This window comes from Homo sapiens, chromosome 7 (genome assembly GCF_000001405.40).
Source record: "Homo sapiens chromosome 7, GRCh38.p14 Primary Assembly".
Taxonomy (NCBI): Eukaryota; Metazoa; Chordata; class Mammalia; order Primates; family Hominidae; genus Homo; species Homo sapiens.
This window is the reverse complement of record NC_000007.14, coordinates 95,509,489-95,537,166: the sequence shown is the minus strand read 5'-3', so window position 1 is coordinate 95,537,166 and position 27,678 is coordinate 95,509,489. Positions and strand designations below refer to the sequence as shown.

Genomic DNA, 27,678 nt, shown 5'->3' with positions numbered 1-27,678 from the left:
TTACACCTAAGCCACAGACCTCCAAGCCCAGTGAACTTTGCACCCTGTGCCTGATACCTCTCCATGTGTTACAGACAGACTTTGACATCTAAAACCAAGAACCAAGGGTGTTCAGTGGGAAGGACTGGTATACATTGGTAGCAAAGTCTGAAAGTCTGCAAGTGAGAACTTGACTCTGCCAATGGTTTTCTGTAGGACCCAAGACAGGGTTTTTAAAACTCTTTCCTGCCTAATAGTCACTTCATGATATTTAAAAGTAAATGAAATAATCTACACAAAACGCTTTAATATTCTGGTAAAAATGCTATATAAGCAATTCCAAATGTTATCATTTAACTCATCTAAATTAATGAGAAGAAAGGAAAACTGCCACCTTTATATACTTAATTCAACTTGCCCTTAAATGGAGGAATTCCCCAAGACACTCCTTAATGCCACATATTTGATGGAAATATTAACTCTCAAACCTGCATTTTATAACCCTTTGTCTCATTGCATTTGAGTACGCTTTAAAGGCATTCTCAAAACCAACTTTTTTGTTACAATTTTCTGTACTTCTAGAGCAGTCTGGAAGTACTTGATAGTGAAAACTATTAGAAGGGAATCGATTATTTACCTCCAAGTCATCATCGGGGATAGCTCTTCTCCACTTTGTGTTCCATCTGATGTGTTCATAGGCATTGACTACAACTTCAATTGCTTTAGGACAAGAATGGCAGGCCTGTATCACCTGCAGAGGAAGCACAGAGTTTCATCTGTTTGATGCACATATATGGTTCATTCATTCTGCTCACAGAGACATCAAGAATTCACAGACCAGTGGGCATGGTAGCATGTGCCTGTAATCCCAGCTACTTGGGAGACTGAGGCAGGAGGATTGCTTGAGCCCAAGAGTTCAAAGCTATCTTGGGCAACACATCAAGACCCTATCTGTAAAAAAAAAACCAGAACCCACAGACCTATTAAGCTCCCTGGAATGCTAAAACGATTTTCAGAAGTCTCACGCCTTTGAGTATTCCAGTACACTGCCACCATGGCAAATAGATAGATTAATAAAATCAAACCAATTTCTTTCACCTTCCACGAGCAAGTGAAAAAGAGGCACTAACAAAGAAGATGAGAATTGAAGAATTACTTTGCCTTTGTACATAATTGAAGCAATTTAGAGACAGACTGGACACAGAATACATTCCCAGCTGCCTGGGAAACTCTTCCAGCTCTACAGAACATTTTATCAAAAAATTCAATGTTAGTCAATCAACTTAGATTCACTGGTGACCACGAGGTAAAGTAAACTACAGAGTAACATGCAAGTTGAGCCAAGTTATCTTCCCAGTCCAATGCCTGCAGAGGGCTGGTGTCATGTACTAAACCACACTTATTGGTATTTTACCTTTCATTAACAAATGAAAGATGACATGAAATTCAGTTAGCTCTTAGCACACTCTGTTTAATAGTTTATTAACCAACCAAAAATACTTGAAAGCTTAGTCAAGATGGCCAGAATCTCCTTCAGGAGATAGAAAGATTTAGCTTTAACATTTAGATTAAACTACATGGATGTTTATACACTTAACCAACTTTTGGTGTGGCCAGTAAAAGGCATTCCTGACTCCCAGTTTAATCATCTTTCTTTCCATTGCCACCCAACAAGCAGCTCCAGCCACAGATCTGCTCTTCTAAATTTGTTCATCATGAGTTTCGTATCAGTTCCATTTTTCCCATGAAACTTCGGAGAACATAAATCAACCTTTCTGAGGGGGTCCTCCTAAAGCCCCTTTCACTTGGTGTTAGGTGAGGCATTAGAAGAGAGGCATGCCTCTGCACTTAAACAACTTTCTCCAAAGACATTTCTTCCTAATTTCCCAGACCGTATCAACCTCAACCTATTACTGTTGAGCAAAAGATCACAAAACCGACTTTCTCTCCATAGGGAAATGTGTTGCTCGACAACCTTCCTCATAGGTGGTCTAGCATTGCCTTTTTCAGTGTAGGGTGGTAAAGACCTAATGTCTTGGGATCACAGATAAAACAGAGACAGAAAGGTTATGATCTTAATATCCAACTAAGTAAGAGTGTGCGCATGTGTGTGCATGTGCATGTGTGTGTGTGTGAGTGAGTGTGTCTGTGTGTGTTGACAGTAAAGAGGCCAACCTGGATGGAGTCAGGGCAGGGCTAAAGGTCAGAGCTGGTAAGATGAAGCCAGCTGGCAGCACATCTGGAAGTCAGCCTGAAGAGCTTGGGATTGACTTGACAGGCAAGAAGAGGCTATTATACACTCTTAACGAGAAGGGATGATATTCAACCTATCCATTCCATTAAGAAGCCTTTATTGAGCACTGGGTTTAGTACTATGACAGTAATTCTGGGAGATTTATGACCTGTTTTTTGTCTTTAAGCAGTTTACAACCTAGTTGAAGAGAAAAGACACAAATAATTTCAAAGAGTTAGAGAGCAATATAAGTCAGTAAATAATAAAAGACTAACATAAAGATCATCAGGTGATCCTTGAGCACCATCAGCAACCCACAGAGGAGAAGACAAGTGCATCGAGGGCAGAGAGTGGAGGGGAGGCTAATGGGAAGTGCACCAACCGGCTCCCAGGCTGGTGTCAGGGCTAGTGCTGGGAAGGAGGGGTGGCTGAAGCTGGGAGAAGAAACAAGTATAGGGCTTAATACTAATCAGATAGGAGGAAGAAAGAATACAACTTGGAAGCCAGAGATAGAGGACAAACAAGAGTTGCCACTGATTGACAGAAATAAGGAACATACTAATCTGGGATGGACAGATAATGAGGAGGAGGATAGTTCATCTTTTTTTTTTTTAATGGAGTTTTACGTTTTTAGCCCAGGCTGGAGTGCAATGGTGCAATCTCAGCTCACTGCAACCTCCACCTCCTGGGTTCAAGCGATTCTCCTGCCTCACCTCCCAAGTAGCTGGGATTACAAATCATGCCACAACTCCTGACTAATTTTTGCATTTTTAGCAGAGACGAGGTTTCACCATGTTGGTAAGGCTGGTGTTGAATTTATGACCTCCAGTAATCCGCCCGCCTAGGCATCTGAAAGTGCTGGGATTACAGGTGTAAGCCACCGCGCCCAGCCATTCATGTCAGCAAAAAATGTACACAATAGATGCTCCCCATTAGAAAGCTAAGATGGAGTTATTATGTGTCATCAAAGTATGTGCTGGCAGAAGCCATGAAGTTCAGTGACAGTCTAAATGGGTATAAATGGAAAAGATAGAGGATCATTACCTACAGCTTCAGAAATCCTAATAGGCACGAGAGAGGAAGAAGGGAAAATAATAGCTACCATTTTTCGAGGACTTACTATGTGCAAGGGACTGTGTTAAATCTTCATATACTTTAACTTGCTCAGCCGTTGAACAATCCTATGAGGTTGGTCCTATATTCATCCCCATTTCAGAGATTTAAGACCAAAGGCTGAGAAAATTTAACCTCTGGGTCTTTTAGCTAGGAAATGGTAGAGTCAGGATTTAAACTCAAGTCTGCATGACTCCAAAGTCAAAAAAACACCAGACATGTCAGAGTGAAAGATACCAAATGAAGAAAGCATTCAAAGTGAGATTATCAAGGGGGTCATGAAGATCAAGAGATGAAGACAGATTAAATACCAGCAGATTGAATTAGAAGGTCAAGTCACTGGGAGTTGGGTGGACTGAAACAGGTAAGGAACAGATTGTGGGGGATAAATAAAGGATAAACGAAAAGTTGTAGCTAGGGCTGCCCTGTCCTCATCTTTAAGACCCTTGGTGTCACAGCACGAAGAGTGTTAGAAGCCCAATAAGTAATTTTCCCTTTTTAGTGTAGGACCTATTAAAAAATGAAATGAAGATGACAATCAGAGATCAGAATATCATCTTTACTACTGATAAAATAGATTACATATGTTTAGTTAGGGGGCCATACACAGCTTCTAACATTCTACCCCCAAACTGAATTTATACCCTAAAATTGCAGGCCTCTCCCTGGCAGACAGAGTTTATTACTGGAAGCCTGCCACATAAATGAACAAAGAATTCAAGGATCCTCTAGACCCAAGGTTGAGCAAGCTAAGTCAATTCCTCCTCCCAACTCATCAATCTGTTAAGTGAAGTGAGAAGGTTAGGGACAGAGATTAGTGGGAGTTTTATTTTAGCAGCATTTTCCTCATGAAAACATAAGACAAAGGAAACATGAGACAGCAGACTGATGTGGACCCCAAAGGGAGAAACCACAGCCTCCTTTTGACCTTGCCAGCCCAGAAAACAGAAGATGTTCAGTAAGCTCACCTTGATGAGTCTCTGGCATCTCTTATTCTCCCTTCATGGAGGAACAATTAGACAAAAAAGTTATTTCTACTGTGGTGACTACTGAAGAGAGATTTAGACACCTCATCTCACCATCCAACCCCCAAAAGCATGGATTAATACACAATCTCTTAAAAAAGAGATTCAAGGTAAGTCTTCCTGCCTCTCTTCTCATCCAAACATCATCTGTAAGCCACTTCAGCAGAAACATTCTCAAGCTACTTCCACTCTTTTATATTGATATATATGTGTTCAGAAAGGTACTTAATGATCAAAGAGAACTGCCTACCTTCATATACAGCATTGTTCAATGGCAGAAATCATCCTTACCTCTCCCAGACCCTCGTGTTACCTTTTCCTCCTCTAGAAAAATGTCTTTCTTGCCCTACAAGAAAACCCAATCTTGGCTCCCTGGGGTGTCACTTTCTTCTGAATTACGCTGGGAGAAAAAAAAATCAAATGTCCTTTTGTACCCTGGAAAGCAATTGCAGACCCTATAATTCTTTTTTCCCCCGCTTATGTAATTTACACATTGGCTTTCAGTGAAATACACCCTCTACAAATTGGCTTTGTATTTGGAAGAAAACATCTTCAGCTCTGACCTTGTTCCTTGTAAATAAGGAAACTGAATTCCCCATCCACACAAGAACGAATCACTTTATCTTCTGGATAAATGAGTCAGTCACTTACTTGTCGTAAAGATGACTTTCTCTTTGGAAAGTCGGGCTGTGGAGTAGTTGTTCTAAATCACTTTGAAGCATCTGCATAGTAAATTGAATAGTTTTTCTTTACTTTTCCTTTGGAGGGGGGCCAGCTCTCCTACACAGTCTGTTGAGTAGCAACAAAAATGTTTGTAATACCAGCCATCTACCAGTAGCCAACTCTATCCTAAATGTCTTTAGCATACAGCCAAACTAAAGGAACTCAAAGGAGCAAAACAACTGAATAAGAAAATGCTAACCATGGACAAAGTTGGTTGGAACACAAAATTGTATGCCTACTTTACAGGCTGGTGGAGCTACCAAGAAAAGCCAGCAGGGGAGATGCTTATGCTGGACCAAGAGCACATGTTGAGAGGAGGAGAAAAGTGAACACTAGGGTTGAATGCCACTACTAGATTCCACAGCAAGTTTCAGAATACAAGTCAACATTTAGTCTCTGGGCAGGGACTCACACACATACTGTCTCTCCTGGATGGGAAGACTGCTATAGTAAAGCAGGCCCAGGAGCACCAATTCTCCTGCTCAACACATGTTTAAGAATAGTAATAGTCATAGCCATCATTTGTTTAATGGTTACCATGCCCATGGCACCGTGCTAACCACTTCTCAAATGCTATCTCATTTAATTATCAAAACAGCCTTACAAGAAGGCTATTACTATTCATGGATAAAGTGATAGAGTATGTTTCTCTGGCACCTTCATGCCCTGTGTCCCTGTCCATCCTTTTCGCTGGAGGGAAAGTAGTCTTTGAACGACAATATGCAGAAAATTATGCTTTGTGAAGTGAGCTGTATTACAGAGGTAGATGTTTTTGTCTTCTAGAGCTAACGTCATGAAGAATGACCAGCCCTTAGCAAGATGTAGGTAAGAAAAAAAGATGGAAGTAAACAAAGAGAGAGATGTGTATAGATGTAGGATAGGACTGAAGGGAGGAACTGGGAAAGAGACTCTGCTGTGACTGAAAGAAGTCCAAGAGAAAGAGGAAAGAAATGTTTGGCACCATCCTCTGAGCTTTGAGCATATTTGTGATGTGCTATGAGTAGGAATAACTTCCTTCTGGGGAAGGACTGAGTCTGCATCGCATTGCCAAGGCATAAATTCAGGGTATACTCATTCAACAGGGGAAGAAACTGAGGCCCAGAAACTTTCAGCAGTTTATTTAATCACACTCTTAAGTAAGTGACAGAATCCAAGTTTGACCCCAAAGTCCATGATTCTCACCACCTTCACTATTCCACTGTGAATCTAAGTTACCCTCATCTCTCATCTAAATTATTGCAAATTTGCCAGCCCCCCACTCAGAGTTATTCTCTGAAAGGCAGTCAAAAGGACCATTTTAGAATATAAATCAGACTTTTATTTTTCTCAACTCAAAATCTTTCAGTGACTTCCTCTCCCATGCAGAGTATAACACCAAGAACATTCCCACAGCTTACAAGGCGACATATATGGTCTGCAAACAACCCACATATATACCTCTTGGATTTATCTTCCCCTTGCTCACTCCACTTCAGCCACTGAGGCTTCCTTGCTCTCCCTCAAACATGCTTAGCCCTCTCCTACCTCAGGACCCTTGCACCTGCTTTTCCTTAGGCCTGGAATGCTCTCCCCACCTCCCCATCAGGTATTTGCATGGCTTGTTCCTCCACATCCTTATTTTTTCTTTTGGAGACAGAGTCTCGCTCTGTCACCCAGGGTGAAGTGCAGTGGCACAATCTCGGCTCACTGCAACCTCTGCCTCCCGGGTTCAAGCCATTCTCCTGCCTCAGCCTCCCAAGTAGCTGGGACTACAGGCGCACGCCACAACACCCAGCTAATTTTTTGTATTTTATTAGAGACAGGGTTTCACCGTGTTGCCCAGGCTGTCTGTCCTTGAACTCCTGAACTCAAGCAATCCGCCCGCCTCAGCCTCCCAAAGTGCTAGGATTACAGGGGTGAGCCACTGCACCCAGCCCCCCACATCCTTATTTTTTCTAATCAACTTAAAGTAGCACACATAATCTGGCATTCTCTTTTTTTTTTTTTTTGCCCTGCTTTTTCTCCATAGCACCTAACATATCAGAGTATATTTATTTGGTTGTTGTTTTGTTTGTTTCCTGTCTCCCACTAGAAAGTATCTTTCATGAAGGCCTTTGGTTCATTGCTCTACCTCCAGCAAATAGAACAGTACCTGACACTTCGGAGGTGTTAAGTAAATATTTGTTAAATAAACAAATGAGTGAACTTGACACTTACTCTGTGTGACTTTATGAAAATATATTAACACTATTAGCTTTAGCTTAGTCACCTTTTAAATGTGAGTAATGCCAGTGCCCACCTCAGAGTCCATTATAAAAATAAAATGAAATAGTCTGTATAAAACCTATTTAGAGCTCAACACAGGACAGTTACTGTAACATTATTCTTATTCTATTCCTCATCTTAATCATTTGTAGTTCCCTAAAAAACTTTTGGAAAATTCATGACATTCTGGGCTTTACATATAATTTTTTAAAAAAGAATTAGTTAATCTTCCATTAGCATCCTGATAACCAAGAGAAAATTCCTATTGAGATCACAGGATTGCTGAACCCATCAAATCTTCATTTGAAAGTTCTCTGGTTTGTCCATCTGGAATCTGCCCTGACTGAAGGCACTACCCTTAAATTCTCTAGTAGAACTTTTCTTCTAACTAAGCCTCACACTGCAGGACTTCAGACAAGTCCCTGACATTTTACCCAGGTAAGACGTAGAACTTAAGCTGTGAATTCAGAAAAACATCTGTTACTTTGCTTTCTGTGGCCTAATTAGTCAGTTGTTGTATACTTCAAACTCTTCTTGTTGTTAATTAAATTTTTAGAGCAAGGGGGAAACCTAAGTATAGTATTATTTGATTTATTTTCAGGTAAAATGCATTTTGGCCTCCAAATTAATTACTAGCTATAAAACTATGCAAAATTCACTCTCTTCCATATTTCTGTAGCACTCATTATTCTTCTACCTTGTCATTTACCACAGCATATTAAAATTACCCCTTTATTTGCTTGTCTCATCTGCTAGATTCTAAGCTTCTTGAGGATACGTCCCATGTCTTAGTCATATCAATACTGGTAGCAACTGGTCCCTACCAGCCTGTTTGAGATTATGAATGTTGTTAAGAAAAACCGTGCAGTGTGATATCATAAGAGTAGATGCTGGAACCAAAGTATCTAAGGTTGAATCCTGGCACTGGCACTGTGGGAGCTCAGGTAAGCTACTTAACTGTGCCTCAGTTTCCTCCTCTGTCAAATAGGGACAATAATAATATATACCTCGTATGATTGTTGTAAGAATTAAATGAAGACATACAAAATGCTTATAACAGTGTGCTTATTTATTATACATAATAAATATAATTTTAGTACTTAATAAACGTTAGCTTTCATTAAACTGGAAAATCGGGTGGCCCTTTCATGGCTACAAGCTAATTTCAAAGCAGGCTGAGTCATCTTTAGATCAGTCATTCTGTTTAAAAGATGGCAAATGTATGCCTGTCTAACACTATTCACCTTTCTGGCAGACTTACCTCAGTCCCTCAGGAAGCCACCAGTGCACTGGTGTTCACACAAGGCAAAACAAATTATTTGCTACTCTTTTTCTCATTCTAGCTCTCACACCCAATTTCAAGCAAACCTAGACTAGGATGAGATGAGGAGACAGCTAGGATTAGGTATGTAATGGAAGGTCAAAGAGGATCAGAGGTAGTTAGCCCAGGACTCAAGCCTCAAGCAAGCTTGAGTTACTTGGAGATTTCAGACAAGGCTGCCATTTGAATCTTCCTCAACCTGCTGACCACTGGGCAGAGCCTCACCTTATGGAACTGTGGAGGGTATATTCGGGCAGCCCCATGGTTCAACAGGAGCTGGTAGCAGATCTCAGGCTGGGCAGCAGGGCGCACGGAGGTGACCTTCAGCACGTACTGGATGGCAGCACAGCCGTTGATATCCATGAGATTGGCTTCGGCGCCAGCTTCCAGCATCATGTGCATGAGCACGTGGTCACAGTTCCAGGCTGCCTTGTGGAGGGGAGATTTAAAGTCGTCATCTCGGGCATTGACTTCGGCTTTGTAGTCAAGCAGCATGCGGCAGACCAGGTGGTGCTCCGTGCTGTACTCCTGCTCCTTAAAGCGGAGGGCCCAGTAGGCGGCGATGGCCAGGGGGGTCTCCATGTGGGCATTCACGCTGTCCACTATGGCCCCGTGTTCCACGTAGAAGGCCACCAGCTCCGAAAGGCCGAAGTGGGCAGCCGTGTGCAAGGGCGTCTCCTCATCTTGGTTGTTGGTCTTCATGTTCACATTCGCCCCTATAAAGGGAAATTGAGGAAGACAATTATTTAAACATGTTTTGTCATTATTCCTAAGGTTCATTAAACAAGACTTTTCTCACTGCTTCTCTTTTAACTTCTGACTGCCGTATATTATCCCCAACCCTCAACCCCTTTGCCCCCAGGCTCTCTTCCTGGGCCTCGTGGAAGCCATTCCCTTGAAGCAACAGTGCCATCTCCTGGACAACCAGCAAAGGTACCCAGGGGAGGAGAAGGAAGGATTTGTGCCAGAATGCTGGAGCGTTGCTGAATTTCACTTCTTACTCCCAGGTGGATTTGGAAATACCAAGAGATTTCTACAACTAAATCTTCTTAATCAACATAACAATGATATTTGCTAATATCATTAAAAACAAATGTTATGTCACAACACTTGACTCTTTAAAAATCAACTGTTTAGAATATTCCACAAAATAATACTTTTCTTCTCTTTCATAGCAGATAAACCTAAAAGTTTGATGCAAGTAAACTTTAGTGGTATGGAAACTTCCCATCCCTTTGACTGAAATTGCAGTATTAGGGCTGCCCAAGTCTGTGAGGCTTTCTTGGAACGCAGCACCACCACCACCACATATGCCTGTGCATGCACACACACACATACACATGCACACACACACACGACTTTAGTCACCAAACTAGCCTAAAGGTTATATTTTTCATCAAAAGGGGCAGAAGCTGGTATAGTAGAAATATTCATTGAAAGAGAGAAAATGATTCAGAGACTGCAAAATGTTTTATTTATGGTTGACAAAGGATGTTAGAAATAGGAATTTTTTGTACTTGGAAAGCTCCTTAGAATTACTTAATCCAACCCATTTATTTAACAGACTAGAAAACTTAAGTGAATTTTGTTTTTCTAATTAGAAATGTTAAATGTGAGAGTGGTCAACTCAAGAAGCTGAAATTTTCCTTCTCTGCCTAATTTAATGAGGTGAACCAAATGACCCTTAGGGGGCCAACTCTAATATCAGCGCTGCTGGAATTTTTTATAGCTACTTCAAGTATTAGTCTGTACAGACTTATTATTATTATTGTTATTATTATGCTAGTAACTAGTATTTATTAAGCACTTAACCATGTGAAACATTCTGGGCTAAATGCTTTTCATATATTGCCTCATTGAACCTTCCAAGTAATCCTTTGCAGTGGGTGCAGTTTTTAATCCTAATTTTATGGATGAAGAAATTTGTACTCAGAGAGGTTAATAATTGGCCAAAAGTACAACCAGCTAGTTGTCACGAGTGCAACTAGCTGGGGCCGGTGTCACAGGTGGTAAAGTAATTTACCAAGACAGTTGTAGGTAAAGAAAGGCAGATTTATTAGAGAAAGTATGTATGAAAATGCGTTGCAAAGTTGCAACCGGCAGCACAGCAGAGAAGGGGCTGTGTAGAGGCAGGGTGCAACTGCAGCGAAGTTTTATAGAGTTGTGCTGGGGGGAGCTGCTGTGCTGAAGGAGGTCATTGTGCGCACAGAACAAGGTCATTGTGCCAGGAAGAAGTCATTGCTTGTGATTTCCCATTTCTCAGAACAACTGTTCATTGTTCTTCCCCACCTGGGGCTCTCTCCCACTGGGGACCCCTTCCTCATTGTTGAACCAAGGTTTGAAAACAGACAGACTGGCTTCGAAATTCCTTATCACTGTTCTATTCCACCTCATATTACTTTTCTGAAGGAAAATTTTTCTGTAGTTTACTCTCTTTTACTATATGAAAACCAGAAAGTACTAGAAAGATAACATTGCATTTTGTTAGCTTTAAAAAAAATCCGTTTACCATGTATTGTTCCTTTATGCCCTTATTTATGGCATCTCCTGATCATATGGAACATATTTGAGAAAGCCAAAACTCCTACAAGCATGCTCAATATCCTATACAAACTCAGTCCCCAAGGAAGGTACCCAAGAGTACATTGCTCTGTAAACTCTGAGACTGTATTCCTAACTTGTAGAAGGCAGAATTGTAACCAAAGATGGTCTTTCATGAAGCCATCTGTGTTTATCAGTATTCTGCCCTAGAGAAGTTCTGGGTCAGGTCTTATTTCAGGTCAGCTCGTCTTTGCTCTGGAGTGAAATGGAACGAATGAGAATGTCTTCCCAGAAGCCATGTGCAGGGTCACTTCAGATGCTGGAGAATTTCCAGTAAGGAAGAGAATCAAAGGGTCAGGATGAAATTCTTACAGGCCAACTTGGAACAAACCACATCCTTTTTTAATGTACTTGGACATTTACGATTGATCTTTGACCTGTTGGTGCAACTAGATATGCTACATGGTTTCCTTTTCTGAATAGGAGTTCCTTATTTTTATACTTGAATTGTGTCGCCAGTGTAACTTTTCCAGGAAATATATAAAGTACAATTATTTGGCTACTTTTTTATTTTAGATTTTGTGATTTATTCAATAAATTAGAGACCAGAAACATCAACTCCTGGGAACTTTGAAATATATTTTTAATGTGAAAATACAATGTATTAGTTTCCAAGAGCTGCCCTAACAAAATACCACACACTGGGTAGCTTAAAACAACTGAAATTTATTCTCCCACACCTCTGGAGACTGGAAGTCCAAAATTAAAGTGTCTAGGGTTGGTTTCTTCCAGAGACTTTGGAGGAGAATCTGCCTCAGACCTCTCTCCTACCTTCTGGTGATGGCTGGAAGTTCTTGGCTTGTAGACCTATCACTCTAGTCTCTGCCTTCACCTTCACATGGCATTTTCTCTGTGTCTCTGTGTTGCAGGAAAATCTGGGTTCTTGTCACATGACCAGGTTAATTTAGGCACGCAGACACTTTGAAGGGTGAGTGGTTACAGAATTTATTTGGCAAAAAGGAAAAAGACTCTCAGCAAAGTAAGAGGGGTTCCTGTTAACAGGCCCCCATCTTACAGACTGGATCCCAGGTTACCACCCAGGAAAAGGAGAGGCCAGGCTGCTCCCCACTGCAAACGGCAGGAACTTCCATAGCTCCATCCCATTCTCCCAGTGCACAGGCTGGTTAGAGGGTCTCTGGGGACCCGATTATACTTGGCTGTCTCATTTGTGTCTCCACATGGTCATCTTATAAGAACACCAGTCATACTGCAATAGGGAACAACCTTACTCTAGTATGATTTTAACATAACTTAAGTAATTACATCTGCAGCAACCTTATTTCCAAATAAATTCACGTGCTGAGGTATTGGAGGTTGGAACTTGAACGTATCTTTGTGTGTGTGTGTTTTGGGGGGTGGCGCACAATTCGACCCATAACACATAACATACGTTACATAGTATATAAAATATATATGTACAGTTTTTTTTAATTATTGTAAAGCCATCACCTTCTAATCACATCCTTGGTCAAGAAATTAGACACTCTTAGCCCCAGAAAATCCTTCCATTTTCCAATTTTTGAACTTTGAATAAATGGAATCATAAACACAAATTCTTTTGACTTGCTTCTTTCACTCAATATTGTATTGGTGAAAATAATCTGTCTTGTGCTGTTTAGTTCTCATTTGTTCATTTTATTATGTCTGTCTTTTAGCACGAGTAATCCACAATTTATCCATTCAACTGTAGATGGGCATTGCCCGTGTCAGGCTATCCCAAGCACTGATGCCATGGGCATTCTTGCACATTCTTGTACTCTGGTGCTCACGTGCAGGGATTTCTCTGGGCTCTACATCTATGAGTGGAATTGCTGGGTCACTGGGTATGCATATCTTCAACTTCATTAAGTACTGTCAAATAAGCAGTTGTACCAGCTTACACTCCGATAAGCCATGGGTGAGGGTTTCTCATTGTATTACATCCTTATCAACATTGGTATTTTCCGTCTATTTAATTTTAGCCAATTTCTTGGTTGCAGAGTGATATCTCATTGCATTTGAATGGTTTCCCTAATTACCAATGAAGTTAGACACGTTAATATTTTTACTGACCAACAATGCTTTTATATTACTCTTATAAGCATTTCCATGTAATTATATAGTCATTTTAAACATAATTTAAAATAACTACATACTCCTTAGAGTAAGTTTACCCTACTGTGCTGATTTTTTCCAAAATTTTGATCTTAAAATTAATGCTACAATTAATAATTTTGTATGTAAATTTTAGGATTATTTCCTTGGAATAAATTCCCCCAAAATAGAATTATTAAGCTGAAACATTTGAACTATGTTAAGAGTCTTTATTAATAACTACCAAAAGTTATATTTTTATCTCTCTCTGTGATGCATAAGACTAATTACCTCACTAAGCAGTATATTACACACTTAAAGAGAAATTCTTGCAAAAATTCTTATTTTTTAAAATCCGAATTCATTTGATTATTAGAGTTTAGACACTTTCTCTGTAATTATTAACTAATGGTATTTCTTTTTTAGTTAATTGTCCAAATTTAGTTCATTGTCTCTTTATTAGGTGAAATCGTTCGGCTTTGTTTGCACTTTTATGAGCTCTTCATCAAGATATAAGCTTATGCTATCATAATTGCTATAAACGTTGTAACCAGTTTGATTTTTCCTAAACACAGTGATGTTGACTTTCGATTGTCAAGTTTTCCCTTGCCTTTTCCTTTGTACCAGAATGTCCTACTCCTTTCAGAAGTTGCATAACAATCTTGATTAATTATAATCTAGTTTTTATAAATGTTAAAAAAATGTTTAAAATTTGATTCGTCTGGATTTTATTTTGGTGTACATATCAATTTAGGAAGAATTGACATTCTTACAGTATGGAGTCCTTCCATGCAGACATACAGTCTGTTTCTCTAAAAAGTTTTCTTTACATTTCTATAAACTATACCCTATAAAATTTGTAGCAGTTTTCATTCTAAGTGGGCAGAGTACATTGTTTCTGGGGTAAAGTGACTTTTAATGGGAGAAGTTCCTTCATGAACCTTTTAATTTATGCAAGAGGGTCTCCAGAACTAGTCTAGAATTATAGTAAATGAGAGAGATAAAAAATTAAATTTTCTCTGCATGATAAAGAAGAGGGAATTTTCAGATTTCATCTGTGGGCAAAAGAAACACTGGTTTGTGTGCACTGAGAATGGGATGAACAGGACAGATAAGATAAGAATTTCAGCAGAGAAGATGGAGACCCCTTCCTGTCCTGATGGTCTTGATTTCTTGAAAAGCCTTTGTGTGGAAAGAGACTGGTACTAAACGGGAGGACCAACACAGATAAGTGCTTCCCAACCCTTCCAGACACTTCCTATGCTGCAGTGTAAGCCATAGAGAGTATCATCTACACATAATCTTTTAAAAATAAATACAATGCCCTGCCTAACATGTAGAGGCAAATTTATGATGGTTACAAATAATATAAATAAACTACAGTGATGTAGTGTGAAATTCAATATGTTAATATTTAGGAAAGATTATCCTAAATGATATAATGAAATATTATTTGCTTAAGCCCATGTGTAGAATTTGAACAGCTACATATTCGAACTGATAGAGGTGTTTTATATTGTAATTCAAACACCACGAGCATCATTGCCATCATGAATGGTATTCCAAAATAAAAAAAATTATTGGTAAAGTTCTAATAAATCAAAGTTCAGCCTCTCCTTGATTTATACCATAGCTGCATTTCTAGAAATGCAGCTGTAGTTATTTAAAATGCTATAGTTATTTAAAAACTCAAAATTATTTTGTGTTTATATATAAAAGAGAGAACTCTGTTGTGTTACTGCATCTAAATATCTATTATTACATCAGCACCAAATCTAAGACTTTAATGAATTATGAAATAGTCAAACATAGAGAAAATTCCAGAAAATATTGACACCTGTACACCATACCCATATTTGACTGAATTTAATTATTACCATATTTGCTTTAGTTTTCTTCTGTCCTACGAGTTTTACAGAAAACCCTAGCCCTTTTCTTTCTTCTTTCTCCCATAATTTTTTCCTCCACAGAGGTAACTACTGTTCTAAAATTGATGCTTATCATTGCTTGGTAAATTTTTGTTCTTTTTACTATTTATATGTGTATCCATTTAAAAAATATACTATTATTTTGTGTTTTAAAAAACTACGTACATTGTATCTCACTTTTGCAACCTGTTTTTATCCATCACAACATGTCTTTGAATAGAGAACTGTTTTTTTTTTTTTAATTTCAACTGCTGAACAGAATTACCTTGTATAAACCACAGTTTAGCTATTCCTTTATGAAGGATGGTAAAGTTGTTTTAGCTTTTTCCCAATAGTAAATATCTTTCAAACTGTGCAGTAGTTACTTGAGAGGAAGAAATAGAATTACTGGGAAGTAATGTATGAACATTTTCAACCATATTAAATTATATTCATCAGTGTATATATCAATGTATATGTCCATCAGTAGAGTTTAAAGGTTCAAAATCATTTCCAACATTTGATACTCTCAAACTTCTTAGTGTTTGCCAATTAAATGGTATTTTGATTTAATTTGCATTCTCCTGATTACCAGTAAAGTGTATTCTCATATGTTTACAGGCCACAGAATCTCACTTGTAAGAATTGTCTCTTCATAGCTTCTGCCCATTTTTCATTGGGTTGGGCTTTTCTTATTTATTTTTCATAATAAAGGTCATATTCAAAAAGGAAACATTTCTTTATGTATTGAAAACATAATCAGAATATATAAAGATCTACTATGAAGGAAATGATAAAATTTTTATTGAAGGCAAAAGACTCAATAAATGGAAAGTTTTACTATGTTCATAAATAGAAAGACTCATTATTGTAAAGATGGCAATTCTTTCAGAATTAATCTATAAATTCAATGCAATTCAAACATTTTTCCCCACAAAATTTGCAGAGTAAAGAGCAAAAATAAATCAATTTTGGAAAAGTGAAGTAAAAAGAATGAGAAAGAAATTTTCTTAAAATTAAAAAAGAATAAGATGGAAAGAAAAGACAGTGAATAAGGGGTACTTACCCCACCAAATATCAAAGCAAACTAATTAAAATAATGTGGTGTTGATGCATAAAGAGAAAACTGGACCAATGAAATAGAACGTAAAGCCTAGAAACAGACCTACCTACAGAAAGCATCTGTAATGACAGGTGTGGCAGTGGATAAAGAATGGACTATTAATAAAGGTATTGGAACCAAAGACTAACAATGTTGTAAAAGCACAGATTTCATCTCTAGTGTGTGTGGATGGGGATGGGGGGTGGGGAGTGGGAGTGTGTGTTTAATTTCAGATAAATTAAAAGCAAATGAAAAGCTAAATAATAAGCTTCTAAGATAAAGGTGTAGAAGTAGGGATTGGAAAAGAATGGGCAATACTCTGTATTCAGTCACTATGGTTCCAGAATACCCTCTCAACTTATTTACTTTTGATGGGCACATTTTTAGCCAAGCCTTCTATGAGATCTGAAACAACAGAGCATTATTTTTTTATTCTTCCACCAGTTGAGCTTGTTTGTATACTTTCCAATAAACCTGAGTTTGTAGACAGAGTGTTAATTGTTTTCACTTTGTTCAGTCTCTTAGTTGGCTGGAAGAGTTGGAGAGATCAGCTGAACAGCTGTTAATGGTATATTTTGTTTCTGCTCCCTTTGTCCGTAACTTCCTTAAAGATTCTGCAGTGCAGTACCCACCACCGTGTCAGAGGCACATGTGCCCCTGTTGGGGGGACACTTTCAAAATTCAGAATTCAAATTATTCCTTGACTCAGGGATATAGCATATCATTGAATATAATGCCCCAGCACTGAAATTTAATATTTTATTAAAGGTTTTTCTGGGCTTAGATGTTTTTGTTAATTTTACCAAACTGAACCTACCCATTTCATCTCCAAACAAGGCATGTTTTTTAGATGAAGATTTTTTTTATTCTACTCTGTTTTGAAACATTGTTCATATTCAAAAAGAAAACATCTCTTTATGTATTAAAAACTATAAAACCATTTTTGCTTAAAATATTCACCACCCACCAATTATCAAGTGAGTTAAAGTCAATGAAAAAAAAAATCCCCTCTCAAAATTTTTAACTCCAGTCCTCAAATGCATGACTTAAAACATAGTAAATCACTAATGGCTGCCTTTTTAACATCACCTTAAAAAATTACACTTTTCTTAGAAAAGGTATTAAGACAGGTCAGAAAGACCATGGAGAAAATATTATCATGGTTTATTCGTAAGGATTTGAGAAGGAATTCGGTTCCATTTACTATAACTTCAGGTAGAAGTCCAGAATCCTCATTAGTTGTTTATTTTATCTGAGATGTTTGATCCATGTTGGTTTACACTTGCTCTCATCACCTTGACCTGCACCTGCCTCAGTACAAAACACTGCTGGGCTGGTATAGGCTTCTGTGCAGATAAAGAACAGCACATTTGTCATGCATTCTTTTATGAAAATATTAATTGTGTCTGCTCTTTTTTGAGCACTCACTAAGAGTTTTACATATATTGTCTCGCTTACTTCTCACAGCACGAATTATTTAGAAACATCTATTATTCAAAGGTTAGATCCCTTTTATTCTATTCAGGGCTTTTCATTTTCTGCATGTTCTGGAATTATTTCTCAAGTCTGCTTCTTTGTCAAGGATGCAATTTTGTACAGTGTCGAGTATGTCATGAACTGTCGCCAAAGCATATTTTCAGTTGGTTGCTTTTTTCTAGTTTCAATTTTGCCCTTTCAGTCTACATTCTATGGCAAATATATTCTCTTGTGTCTTCCATAGTCTTGTCTCAAATGAAATCTTAAATGAAGTACCATTTCCTTTCAGTTCTCATTTATCTAACACTCACATTCTCTAGAGTCTGGGGTTGAGAACTACCTTCTTCTAGAGCAACAAGAACCATTAATTCCTCACCTGTGCACCTCATTCTTTAAGATTTATGTCATCCCGTGAAATTACTCTTTATTTCTTCTTATCTATAATCTTACTAACTCCCAGTGACTCTCCCATTTTCCCTGAAGGCACAGGTGTCTGGCTCAAGTCTTCCTTTTATCTCTGTCCTGAAGTCACCCTGCAAAACCTTTGTGGATGGCCCATCCAACACACTTGCACTTACAATTCTAAACCTTCTGGGTCAAATTGTGTGGCAATGATAAAAAATCTCATTGGTCGTTCCTGCAGTGGAATCCCTGTTAAAGATTTGTACATCATCTTGTTGGACTCAGTTTGAGTTAGTGGTTCCAGTTACCCAGTTTAATCTCTATCTTACCCTTATCTAGGTATCTAGGTCATTCAACTCTTTCTTGAGTGCCAATATAGTCTAATTTTTTTCCTTAGGTTAGGATTTAGTCAGAATAAACTTAATTATGCTGTTGTAAAGACACTCATATTTCAGTGGCTTAGAGCAACAGAAGGTTATTTCTCACTGTCACATAGTGCACTGCAGTTCCAAGGGGCAATTCAGAATCAAGGCCCTCCATTTGATTTCTCAGGGCTCCAAGCTGCCTTGGTCTTATGGCTTCGCCATCTCTACCTGAGGCTTGCCCCACTATCACAATATCATGGGGAGAAGAAGACTTTAAAAATTCCTCATGGACTTTTCATTGTCTAAGCCTGGAAGCCACTCTTATTTCTTTTGTTCATATGTCATTAGCTAGAAGAGTCATATGCCTGCTGAACTTCAAGTGGACTAGAAAGCGTGGTCTTCCATGAGCCTGGAGTGGAAGAGAACAAGATATTGGTGAAAACTAGTTATTTCTACCATTGCTGAATTGAGTTTCTGTGGGTTTTGGTAAAACAAACAGAAATGCTGACTAATTCAGCATCTTTACCTTCTCTCTATCCTTTTAGGGGAAGTAGGGTCTCTCCTCCAATTTAAGACCAACACCTTCCTCTTTGCAATTGATCATACACCCAGCAGTAGAACATTGCTCCACAAGTAATTTATCTCTATTATTTACCCAACATCTCCATTCCCATGGACTCTTTGCCCTCATTTTCTAAGCATACTTAAGCTTTTGCAACTCTTTTCTCCCTTTTAGCTAACCTCCAATTTCTTTCTATTGCTTTTTGTTTGAACTCCTTGAAAGGGTGGTCTCTGTTTTCCACATCCACTGTCTCACCACCGATACACTCCTCAGTCCATCAAACCTTGCCTCTGTCCCCACACTCCACTGGAACTGCTCAGACGAAGATCACTAGTGGCCTGTAATTGATTATCTACATTTTTCAACCTTCCAGTTACCACACCTCTCTACTATATCTAATGGTATTGATGACTCATTTCTTGAAATTCTTTTTTTTTTTCAGTTTCCTTGGGTGTGCTTTCTTCTCCCTCTCTGAAAACAAAGTCTGTGATGATTTTTCTGTGATTTCCTTTCTTCTCACTCCCTAAATTTTTGCCTCACTTTGGGCATCATCATTTGCTCCTTGCACTTCCTATTATACATAACTTCCTGGAGAAATCAAAACTACTATTTTCTCTTTATCTGTGAACAGACAGGTCCCCAAATTCTATCATCATATATATGATAAAAGACTCGTGTCTAGAATACATAAAGAACTATTAAAACTAGACCTGGCATGGTGGCTAACGTCTGTAGTCCCAGCATTTGGGGAGTCTGAGGCAGGAGGATTGCCTGAGCCCAGGAATTTGAGGTTACAGTGAGCTATGATGGCTCCACTGCACCTCAGCCTGGGCAACAGAGTGAGAACCTGTCTCCAACAATAACAACAAAAAAAATAGAACTATTACAACTCAATAGAAAAAGCCAAATAACCCAATTTAAAAATGGATAAAGTATATAAACAGACATTTCTACAAGAACAAACCATGCAAATGATCATTAACACAGGGATAGGAAACACTTTCTTTCTGGACATGGAAAGCTTGAGAGGATAACTAAACATCCAGTGGAGACAGATTATATATAGTTGGATAGATGAGTCTGGAGTTCAGAGCAGAGGCTCAAGCTAGAGATACCAAGCTGAAAGTGAACACCATTTGATGACATTTGAAGTCACAGAAGCAGATGGGATCACACAGGTTTGAGTTCAGATGGAGAAAAGGGCCTCTTAGACTGAGCCCTAGGACATGCAAATATTTAAACACAGAAAAGAGTAGCAGATCCAGCAAATAAGACTGAACAAAGACCAGTGAAGGAATAGGAAAACAGCTCGGCTTTATAAATGCTTATTAAACCAAACTTTTTGACACTTGGTCTGCTCTCATGACAAGTTTCTTCTTCTTTAACAGCTACTCGTATTTTTTAAGCCATATTGAAAACAGGAAGCAAATATCACAAACTATTTCCCCTGTCTCCTGAAGCAAATCTTTTTCATATCAAAGCTTATCTGCCAACTCCACAGAATATTGCTTCTCATCCTTTGGGAGACACATTTTTTTCATTGAACCCATGTTTATTTATCATTTTGTTTATTTTTAACTTACTCAACCTTAAAGAAAGGATATCTTTCTAGACATGCTATTGGAGAATAACCAAGATGCAGACACTGAGCTCAGTCACCCTGTATTTATTTTATTTTTTATCTTTTTAATTCCAAAAAACCATTGATTAAAATTTTGCAAAGTAACCATAGATAAGACTGAATAACTCAGACTTTGGAATATGTACCATTACTGTATTATTTTGCACTAATCTGTTGGGCTCATGAAATCAGACCATATATTATGGTCAGAAAGGTGTTTTCGTTGAAGGAAATTAATGCTGCTATTATCATTCAACTGAAAAAGAGGTTAACCCTGAGGAAGACTGATTTTTTTAGAAGATACAAGTTTGGATAAAGTGATAAGGACTTCTTCCTCCACTCAGGGACAAAATTCTGTCTGTTCTGGACTCAAAGGCAAGAGGAGGCCTGGACCAGCCCTAGGGGTAGAGGTGAATGGCCCTGGCTCATGGAGGCAGGACTGGAGTGAAACAGGGAGATAACATGGCATGAAGGAGAGTGGTACCAATGGGGCTTTGGGTTATTAGAAGCCAATTGTATGAGAAGGAATTTGTCAAGCAACAGTGAGCCTACTTTTTTGAGTGGCAGCAACAGCAGCAAAAGCAAGGGTGATGGTGCCCATCTCTGGAGCAGCCAGCATCTTTGATAATAAGTAAGGAGTCCTTTAGTCCAGGGGGAATACCAGGGTTTATTCTACAACCAGTGCCTTACAGAAAGAGCAACTGCAGCTGGGCGCAGTGGCTCACGCCTGTAGTCCCAGCACTTTGGGAGGCCAAGGTCGGGGGGATCACAAGGTCAAGAGATTGAGACCATCCTGGTCAACATGGGGAAACCCCGTCTCTATGAAAAACACAAAAATTAGCTGGGCTTGGTGGCACATGCCTATAATCCCAGCTACTCTGGAGGCTGAGGCAAGAGAATCACTTGAACACGGGATGCAGAGGTTGCAGTGAGCAGAGATCACATCACTGCACTCCAACCTAGCGACAGAATGAGACTCTGTCTTAAAAAAAAAAGAGAGAGAGAAAGGAAAAAGAAAAGAAAAGAAAAAAAAGAAAAGAAAAGAAAGAAAGAAAAGAAAGAAAGAAAAAGAAAGAAAGAAAGAAAGGAAGGAAGGAAGGAAGAAAGAAAGAAAGAAAGAAAGAAAGAAAGAAAGAAAGAAAGAAAGAAAGAGAAAGAAAGAAAGAAGGAAAGAAAGAAAGAAAGAAAAAGAAAGAAAGAAAGAAAGAAAGAAAGAAAGAAAGAAAGAAAGAAAGAAAGAAAGAAAGAAAGAGAAAGAGAAAGAAAGAAAGAAAAACAATTGCTTGGACAGAGGTTGTCTCTGCTGGGAATTCATATGAGGAAGGAGTACCTTGAAGAAACAAGATTCCCTGCTAACACAGTGTGTGGAGGACCACAGTTGTTAAACACAGGGATGCCTAGGTGTCATACTGTCTACGTCACCAGCTGGTGAAACTAGAGCTATGGCTACATAAAGGTTTAGAACAGCCCCTTAGGTGAATTGAAGAGGGAAGTTTTTTCTCCAGCTCCCTTTGCATTTCTGCCTTTATCTCAGTCCATCATCTCCTTAGGTCTCATAAAGACCAAGTCCCCTTCACACTTTGGATGGAATTAAGCAAAAGACTTCACAATTTTTGTCTGTTTCTTGCAGAAAGGCCATTTCAGAATTATCTTCCCGTGTGTAGTCAGGGTAAGGCTCCCTCTATGCTGGGCCAGAATATTTTCATGGACTCCAGGTTGCGCTTCTTTGTACCATCTTCATCACTGAGAAATGGGTAAGACAGGTAGTGACTAATCATCTGAGACTATCTTTTCAAATACCTGATAGGTTGCATGCCTGTCAGAATGATGAATTTAAAGGGAGGGAGAATTTGTGTACCCTGAAGCCAGACACTGAACATGTCAGTCAACCTCTTCCTCTAACTCTTGGAGGGGTTGTCTGTCCATTTTGTTTAAGAGGGACATCCAAATTCATTCATTTTTATGATGTAATTAATAGAAATTTCACCATTCTTTGGTTTATAGTTTGTTCATATATTTAGTTTACATAGCTATTGCTAAAGGGCTTTGGTAAGTTTTTCTGTATTTTTATAGATGATTTAATAGTAGGCAGGGAATGGTGTATTAGAGGTGTATATGGTCTGTGCTAATCTAGAAGGATTGTACTGTGGCAAAGTTATAGTGTCGGTGAGACAGAAATTCAAGTAATCAACAAGGAAGCCCAGACTGAGTAGAGAAAGAAATGACGTTAAGAGAGGGTGAGAGACCTGTATTCAAAAAGGGGCAAGGAACTGGAGTCATGAAGACATTAAAGAATTGGTGCAGTGTAACTGAGAGAGAATGATGGAAAGATAAGAAGCGAAAATACTGGAGAGCCATAAAGGACCAAGGATGAGATCATGTGAGTGCACAGCTGACCTGGAGTGAAATGCAGATTGTTAGAATTGTGGAGGTCCAGGAGTTGTGAGGGTGATTTTGGACTGGTAATTTATGCCAGCATCGAAATCCTTCGTGGATGATGGCAGAATTAGAGAAATGGACCAGAATTGACAGACAGATGACCAATTCCTCAAAAGGAAATCACTTACATTATAGCAGATAGTAATGCCTAGGATGCCTAGGGTGGGTAGGTGAGAGTCCTAGCTTCTTATTGCTGCTGTCACAAGTTACCACAAACTGGGCAGCTGAAAACAACACAAATTGATTATTTACAGTTATGCAGGTCAGAAGTCTGACACAAGTCTCAGTGGAGGTAATGGTTAATTTTATGTAACAACTTGGCTGGGCCATGCTGCTTAGCTATTTGGTCAAACAATATTCTGGATGTTTCTGTGATGTTGTTTTTCTAGATGAGATTCACATGTAAATCAGCAAACTTTGAGTTAAAAACAGATTGTTCTCCTTAATGTGGGTGGGCTTCATCCACTCCATTGAAAGTCTTCATAGAACGAAGACTAACCTCCCACAAGCAAGGAAGGGCTCTGGCAACAGACTGTATCTATTCCCTAGGTCTCCAGCCTACTGGCCTTCCCTCCAGATTTCAGACTTGCACCTCCACATTGCATGAGCCAATTCCTTAAAATAAATCATTCCATTCCCTGTCTCTGAACACACACACACACACACACACACACACACACACACACATTCTATTGGCTCGATTTCTAAAAAAAAAAAAAAAAAAAAACAAACAAAAAACAAAAAAAACCCTGACAGTGGGCTAAGATTGAAGTCAACCAGAATGTATAGAAGAGTCCATTTCCTTACCTTTTCCAGCTTCTAGAGGCTTCCCACATTTCGTGACCATGGCCTCCTTCCTCCATCTTCAAAGCTAACAATGGTGGGTAGAATCTCTTATACATCCTATCTCTCTGACCTTCCTTCTATAGCCACATTTCCTCTAACTATAGCCAAAAAAGGTCCCTGATTTTAAAGAGACATGACCAACATGGATAATCCAAGATAATCTCCTCATCTCAAAGTTCTTAATTTAATCACATCTGCAAAGTGCTTTTTTTGCCATATCAAGTAACATGTAATCACAGGCCCCAAGGATGAGGACTTAGACATCTTTGGAGGGTCGTTTTTCTTCCTAACGCACTGATAGAATCTGCCCTCAGAAGAGAAGCTGGAAAGAAGACTGACGTACACAGGGCTAAATGGAGTTCTTGCTGCACCAAATGTGAGTTCCCCTTCTAGCTATAGGCCCTAATTTCATTCTTCTAAGCCAGCATTACCCAAAGTCTGCTCTGTGGCATATTAGTATTGCAAGATGGATTAAAAATAAAAGCTCTGTGGTTAAATAAATGTGTAGATTTTATGTACCTTTGTATCTTTACAATTCACATTAGCACATGAAAGATTCTGAGAAGTTTATATTGAGGAAATCTGTCCAGTTTAACATGGATTTTCCAGGACTTATTTTTCCAAGGAATTCTCTTTTTGAAACACCTATTAACAGCTCCAGCATCATTGCTTAATACAGTGGACTTTGGGAAACGCATTTCTAGACAACATAAAGATACTTTCACAGGTCCAGGGATGGGGGAAAAGAGCCTTACATAATCCATAAAGCCTTGCTGGAGTTCCCTAGAATCAACTTGAATTATCCGTAGCCCCATTTGGTAGGTGAGGGCTAAGATTCAAAGAAGTTAAATTTTGCCCTCATGAATGGAATAGTCAAGGTCTGAACCGAGTCCGTCTTACTCCAGAACCTTCACTTTTAAGCACTGTCCTTGAGTTCCTCTTTTCATATCAAGCCATGTTCGAGCCTCCTGGCCAGCCCTTGGTTGAACACCACCCCTGGTCTAATAGGCTACAGCATGGGAGGATCAAGTGTTACAGAAGATAGCAACCTGTGCTTCCCCTTCATCAGGGGCTGGGAGCAAGGCAGTTATAGAAGAAGCTGAGGGAGTGGCAGGTTTGCTGACTGACATATACAGTCTACAGTGGAGATGAGATCCACAGAATAAGGCAAAAACAGCAAAGTCACCCAAGGCAGTCCCGAGACTAATTTACATTAGCGGCAGGACTCTAAAGTAGCAAAGGGAAGGCAGCACCACCTAGTGGACAAAACGAGAGCTCTGTATTGAGGTCACTGCAGTCAAAACCTGATTTCACTATTAAGCAATTTGTCTCAAGCTCAGTGTTTTAATCTGCAAATCTTAACCTCATAGGATAGTTGTGAGGATTAGTGAAAGCATAGACAAAGTGCCAAGCATGCAAAATAAATGCCATATCCAGCTGTTGTTATTTTTATTTATTTATTTTTTTTTTTTGAGACGGAGTTTTGCTCTTGTTGCCCAGGCTGGAGTGCAATGGCGCAATCTCGGCTCACCGCACCCTCGGCCTCCCAGGTTCAAGAGATTCTCCTGCCTCAGCCTCCCAAGTAGCTGTGATTACAGGGTTATTATTAATTATTAAGTCCAAGCCGATCTTTCTTCACGGCTCTTCCTCCTGCCCCCACCCAGGTTAATTCAACTATGCTTGCGAGAAGTGCACGTACTTCCTACTCTTACCACCCAGGTCTTTGGTTGGTGTGGCCCTCTTAATTCAAGAGTGTTGCTGAGGGCTGCCAGAATTCTGAGGCCGCAAGAAAACAAAGAAAAGGGGGCTGGAGTGATTTGCTTTCAGGGGACTCCCTAACTGGGCCTTCCCTGCAGCGTTCACTTCTTGGTGGCTCTCGGTAGGGGCGGGCTGTCAACAAAATGTTTTGTCTTGGAAAAGAGAGGGGTCCACCGTTATTCTGTCCCCATTAGCTTTCTAATTAGTAAAAACTTCAAGAAGCTGGCATGTGCTTGATTCTTAGCATCCAATTCTGAGCTTTCATCATTTCCCCTATTTGTATGTTTTCTTGGTTAGCTTAATGGAAAAACCTTCTAAAATTGTTTATATTATGTTCCATAAGTTATTACTTACAGAGATGACAAAGAAAACACTTGCATTTCTGTTTGTAAGTCTGATATCTTTTGCTAAATGGGTATTTAAAATGTTCAGAGGATAATAAGCTCCAGGCTCCCCTAAGTAAGAAACAAATTAAAGTGCTGATAGAAAATAAATAAAGAAGTACAGGCCTAAGGAAACTTCATCCTTCAATTTCCGGTTTCAGATGCTTCCAGTTATAAAACAAAGATAACACATCCAGACTGAAAACTCAAAACAGAAGACACATATGGTTTTTGATTGTAGAATTTAAAGAGAGTGGGTCAGAGAAGGAAACCTGTAATGCTAACAGGTGGGAAAGAAGGCTGTGATTACTACTTTTCCTCTGAAGCACTTGGGAATCACCTGGCTGCAGTAAGCAACCCAAACTTGAGAAAATTGACCTAAAATTGTCGTATAGGTGAGACCAAAACAATTAGTGTTTGGAGAAAAAAAGAAAAATGCTAACATCTAAGTTTAGTGACAGGGATATTTAACATACGCCTAGTTATTTCTATTATTTTAACCCTTGCTATATTACATTGTTGGAGGTAGAAATTAGAAATTGATCAAAGTGTTGTTTTTAATTAAAGAGTTTAATTTTAAGGAAAATGAATTAATGGATTTTCAATATATCTTTTTCAATCACTTATCTACACCCTTGTTGGAGCAAATCCAGAAACCAAAATAAAGGCATGATACTTAAAAGGAAAGGATCAGTTTCTGTGTTGAGAGTGTGCTTTGCAACTCCAATTCTTCATGTTAGAAAACGACAGAATGGGGATAAACGATTGCCTTGATGGGACTCATTTCGGAAGAAACATCGACAGTTTTTCATATCTTTTCATTAAACACACTTCTAATATACCCAGCTGCCTTCTCATTTTTTTTTTAAGAAAAGCCTTTAAAAAATCTTAGGATAGTTAATTTTTTAAGCTAATAGGATTCTGATATAGCATTTAAGCTTCTCTTTTAGATATTAAGTGTCACCTTAGCACAGTCTTTTCTCCTAATTTTTTAATTAGCCAAATGTCCCAGAAGGATAAGCATTATTCAATTTCCAGCAAGACACAGTGGGAGCATCACGGACCCAAAACAAATAAAATTTGATCTGCTTGAATCTGACAAGCTTTGTACTGAGGCCTGATTCAACTTATCTGAGTCTCCGATTCCTCATTTTTTAAATAAGGAGAATAATGTGCAACCTCACATGGTTGTTGCAAGGATTAAATGAAACATTTTATTTTCAAGTACCTGACATAGCCACATCATAGATGCTTAATATATATTATTTTCCTTTCAGTTTTCCCCTTCATATGCATGTATACCGGCAACATCAATTTCCTTTATATGTAGTGCCAATGCTGTTAACTTTATTAAGCTAGATTTTCCATTAAGCATTTATCCTTATTCATTAGCTAGGAGGACTGACGCACAAAGATATTAAATTATTTACTCAAGTTTAATGAATGAAATTGAAAACCCTTTTCCTCTGCTTAACATGAATGTGCCCTTTTCAGTATGCAGAGCT

At 38.9% G+C, this 27,678-nt stretch overlaps 1 protein-coding gene across 4 annotated transcripts in view, besides 2 other annotated features; it reads right to left on the bottom strand.

Moving 5' to 3' along the window:
* ASB4 (ankyrin repeat and SOCS box containing 4) overlaps positions 1 to 27,678 on the bottom strand; it is an 80,662-nt gene that overhangs the window by 14,151 nt on the left and 38,833 nt on the right. For 3 of the 4 annotated variants that reach the window (XM_047420471.1, XM_017012303.2, NM_016116.3), the window contains exons 3-4: positions 8,864 to 9,354; positions 617 to 730 (exon numbers count right to left, since the gene is read on the bottom strand). In XM_047420471.1, coding sequence (XP_047276427.1) covers positions 617 to 730; positions 8,864 to 9,354 — 605 coding nt within the window. Of the gene's footprint in view, positions 1 to 616; positions 731 to 8,365; positions 9,355 to 27,678 lie in introns of those variants that run through there. The other variant, NM_145872.3, reaches the window with a different exon arrangement.
* Positions 9,159 to 9,660: an enhancer, noted in NCBI's record as "H3K4me1 hESC enhancer chr7:95156819-95157320 (GRCh37/hg19 assembly coordinates)". NCBI's record gives its function as "activates a minimal SCP1, AML or CMV promoter by ChIP-STARR-seq in naive and primed H9 embryonic stem cells {active_cell/tissue: H9 hESC(naive and primed)}" and the evidence as "EXISTENCE:reporter gene assay evidence [ECO:0000049][PMID:30033119]".
* Positions 25,003 to 25,152: an enhancer, noted in NCBI's record as "active region_26295". NCBI's record gives its function as "activates an Ori minimal core promoter by ATAC-STARR-seq in GM12878 lymphoblastoid cells {active_cell/tissue: GM12878}" and the evidence as "EXISTENCE:reporter gene assay evidence [ECO:0000049][PMID:35858748]".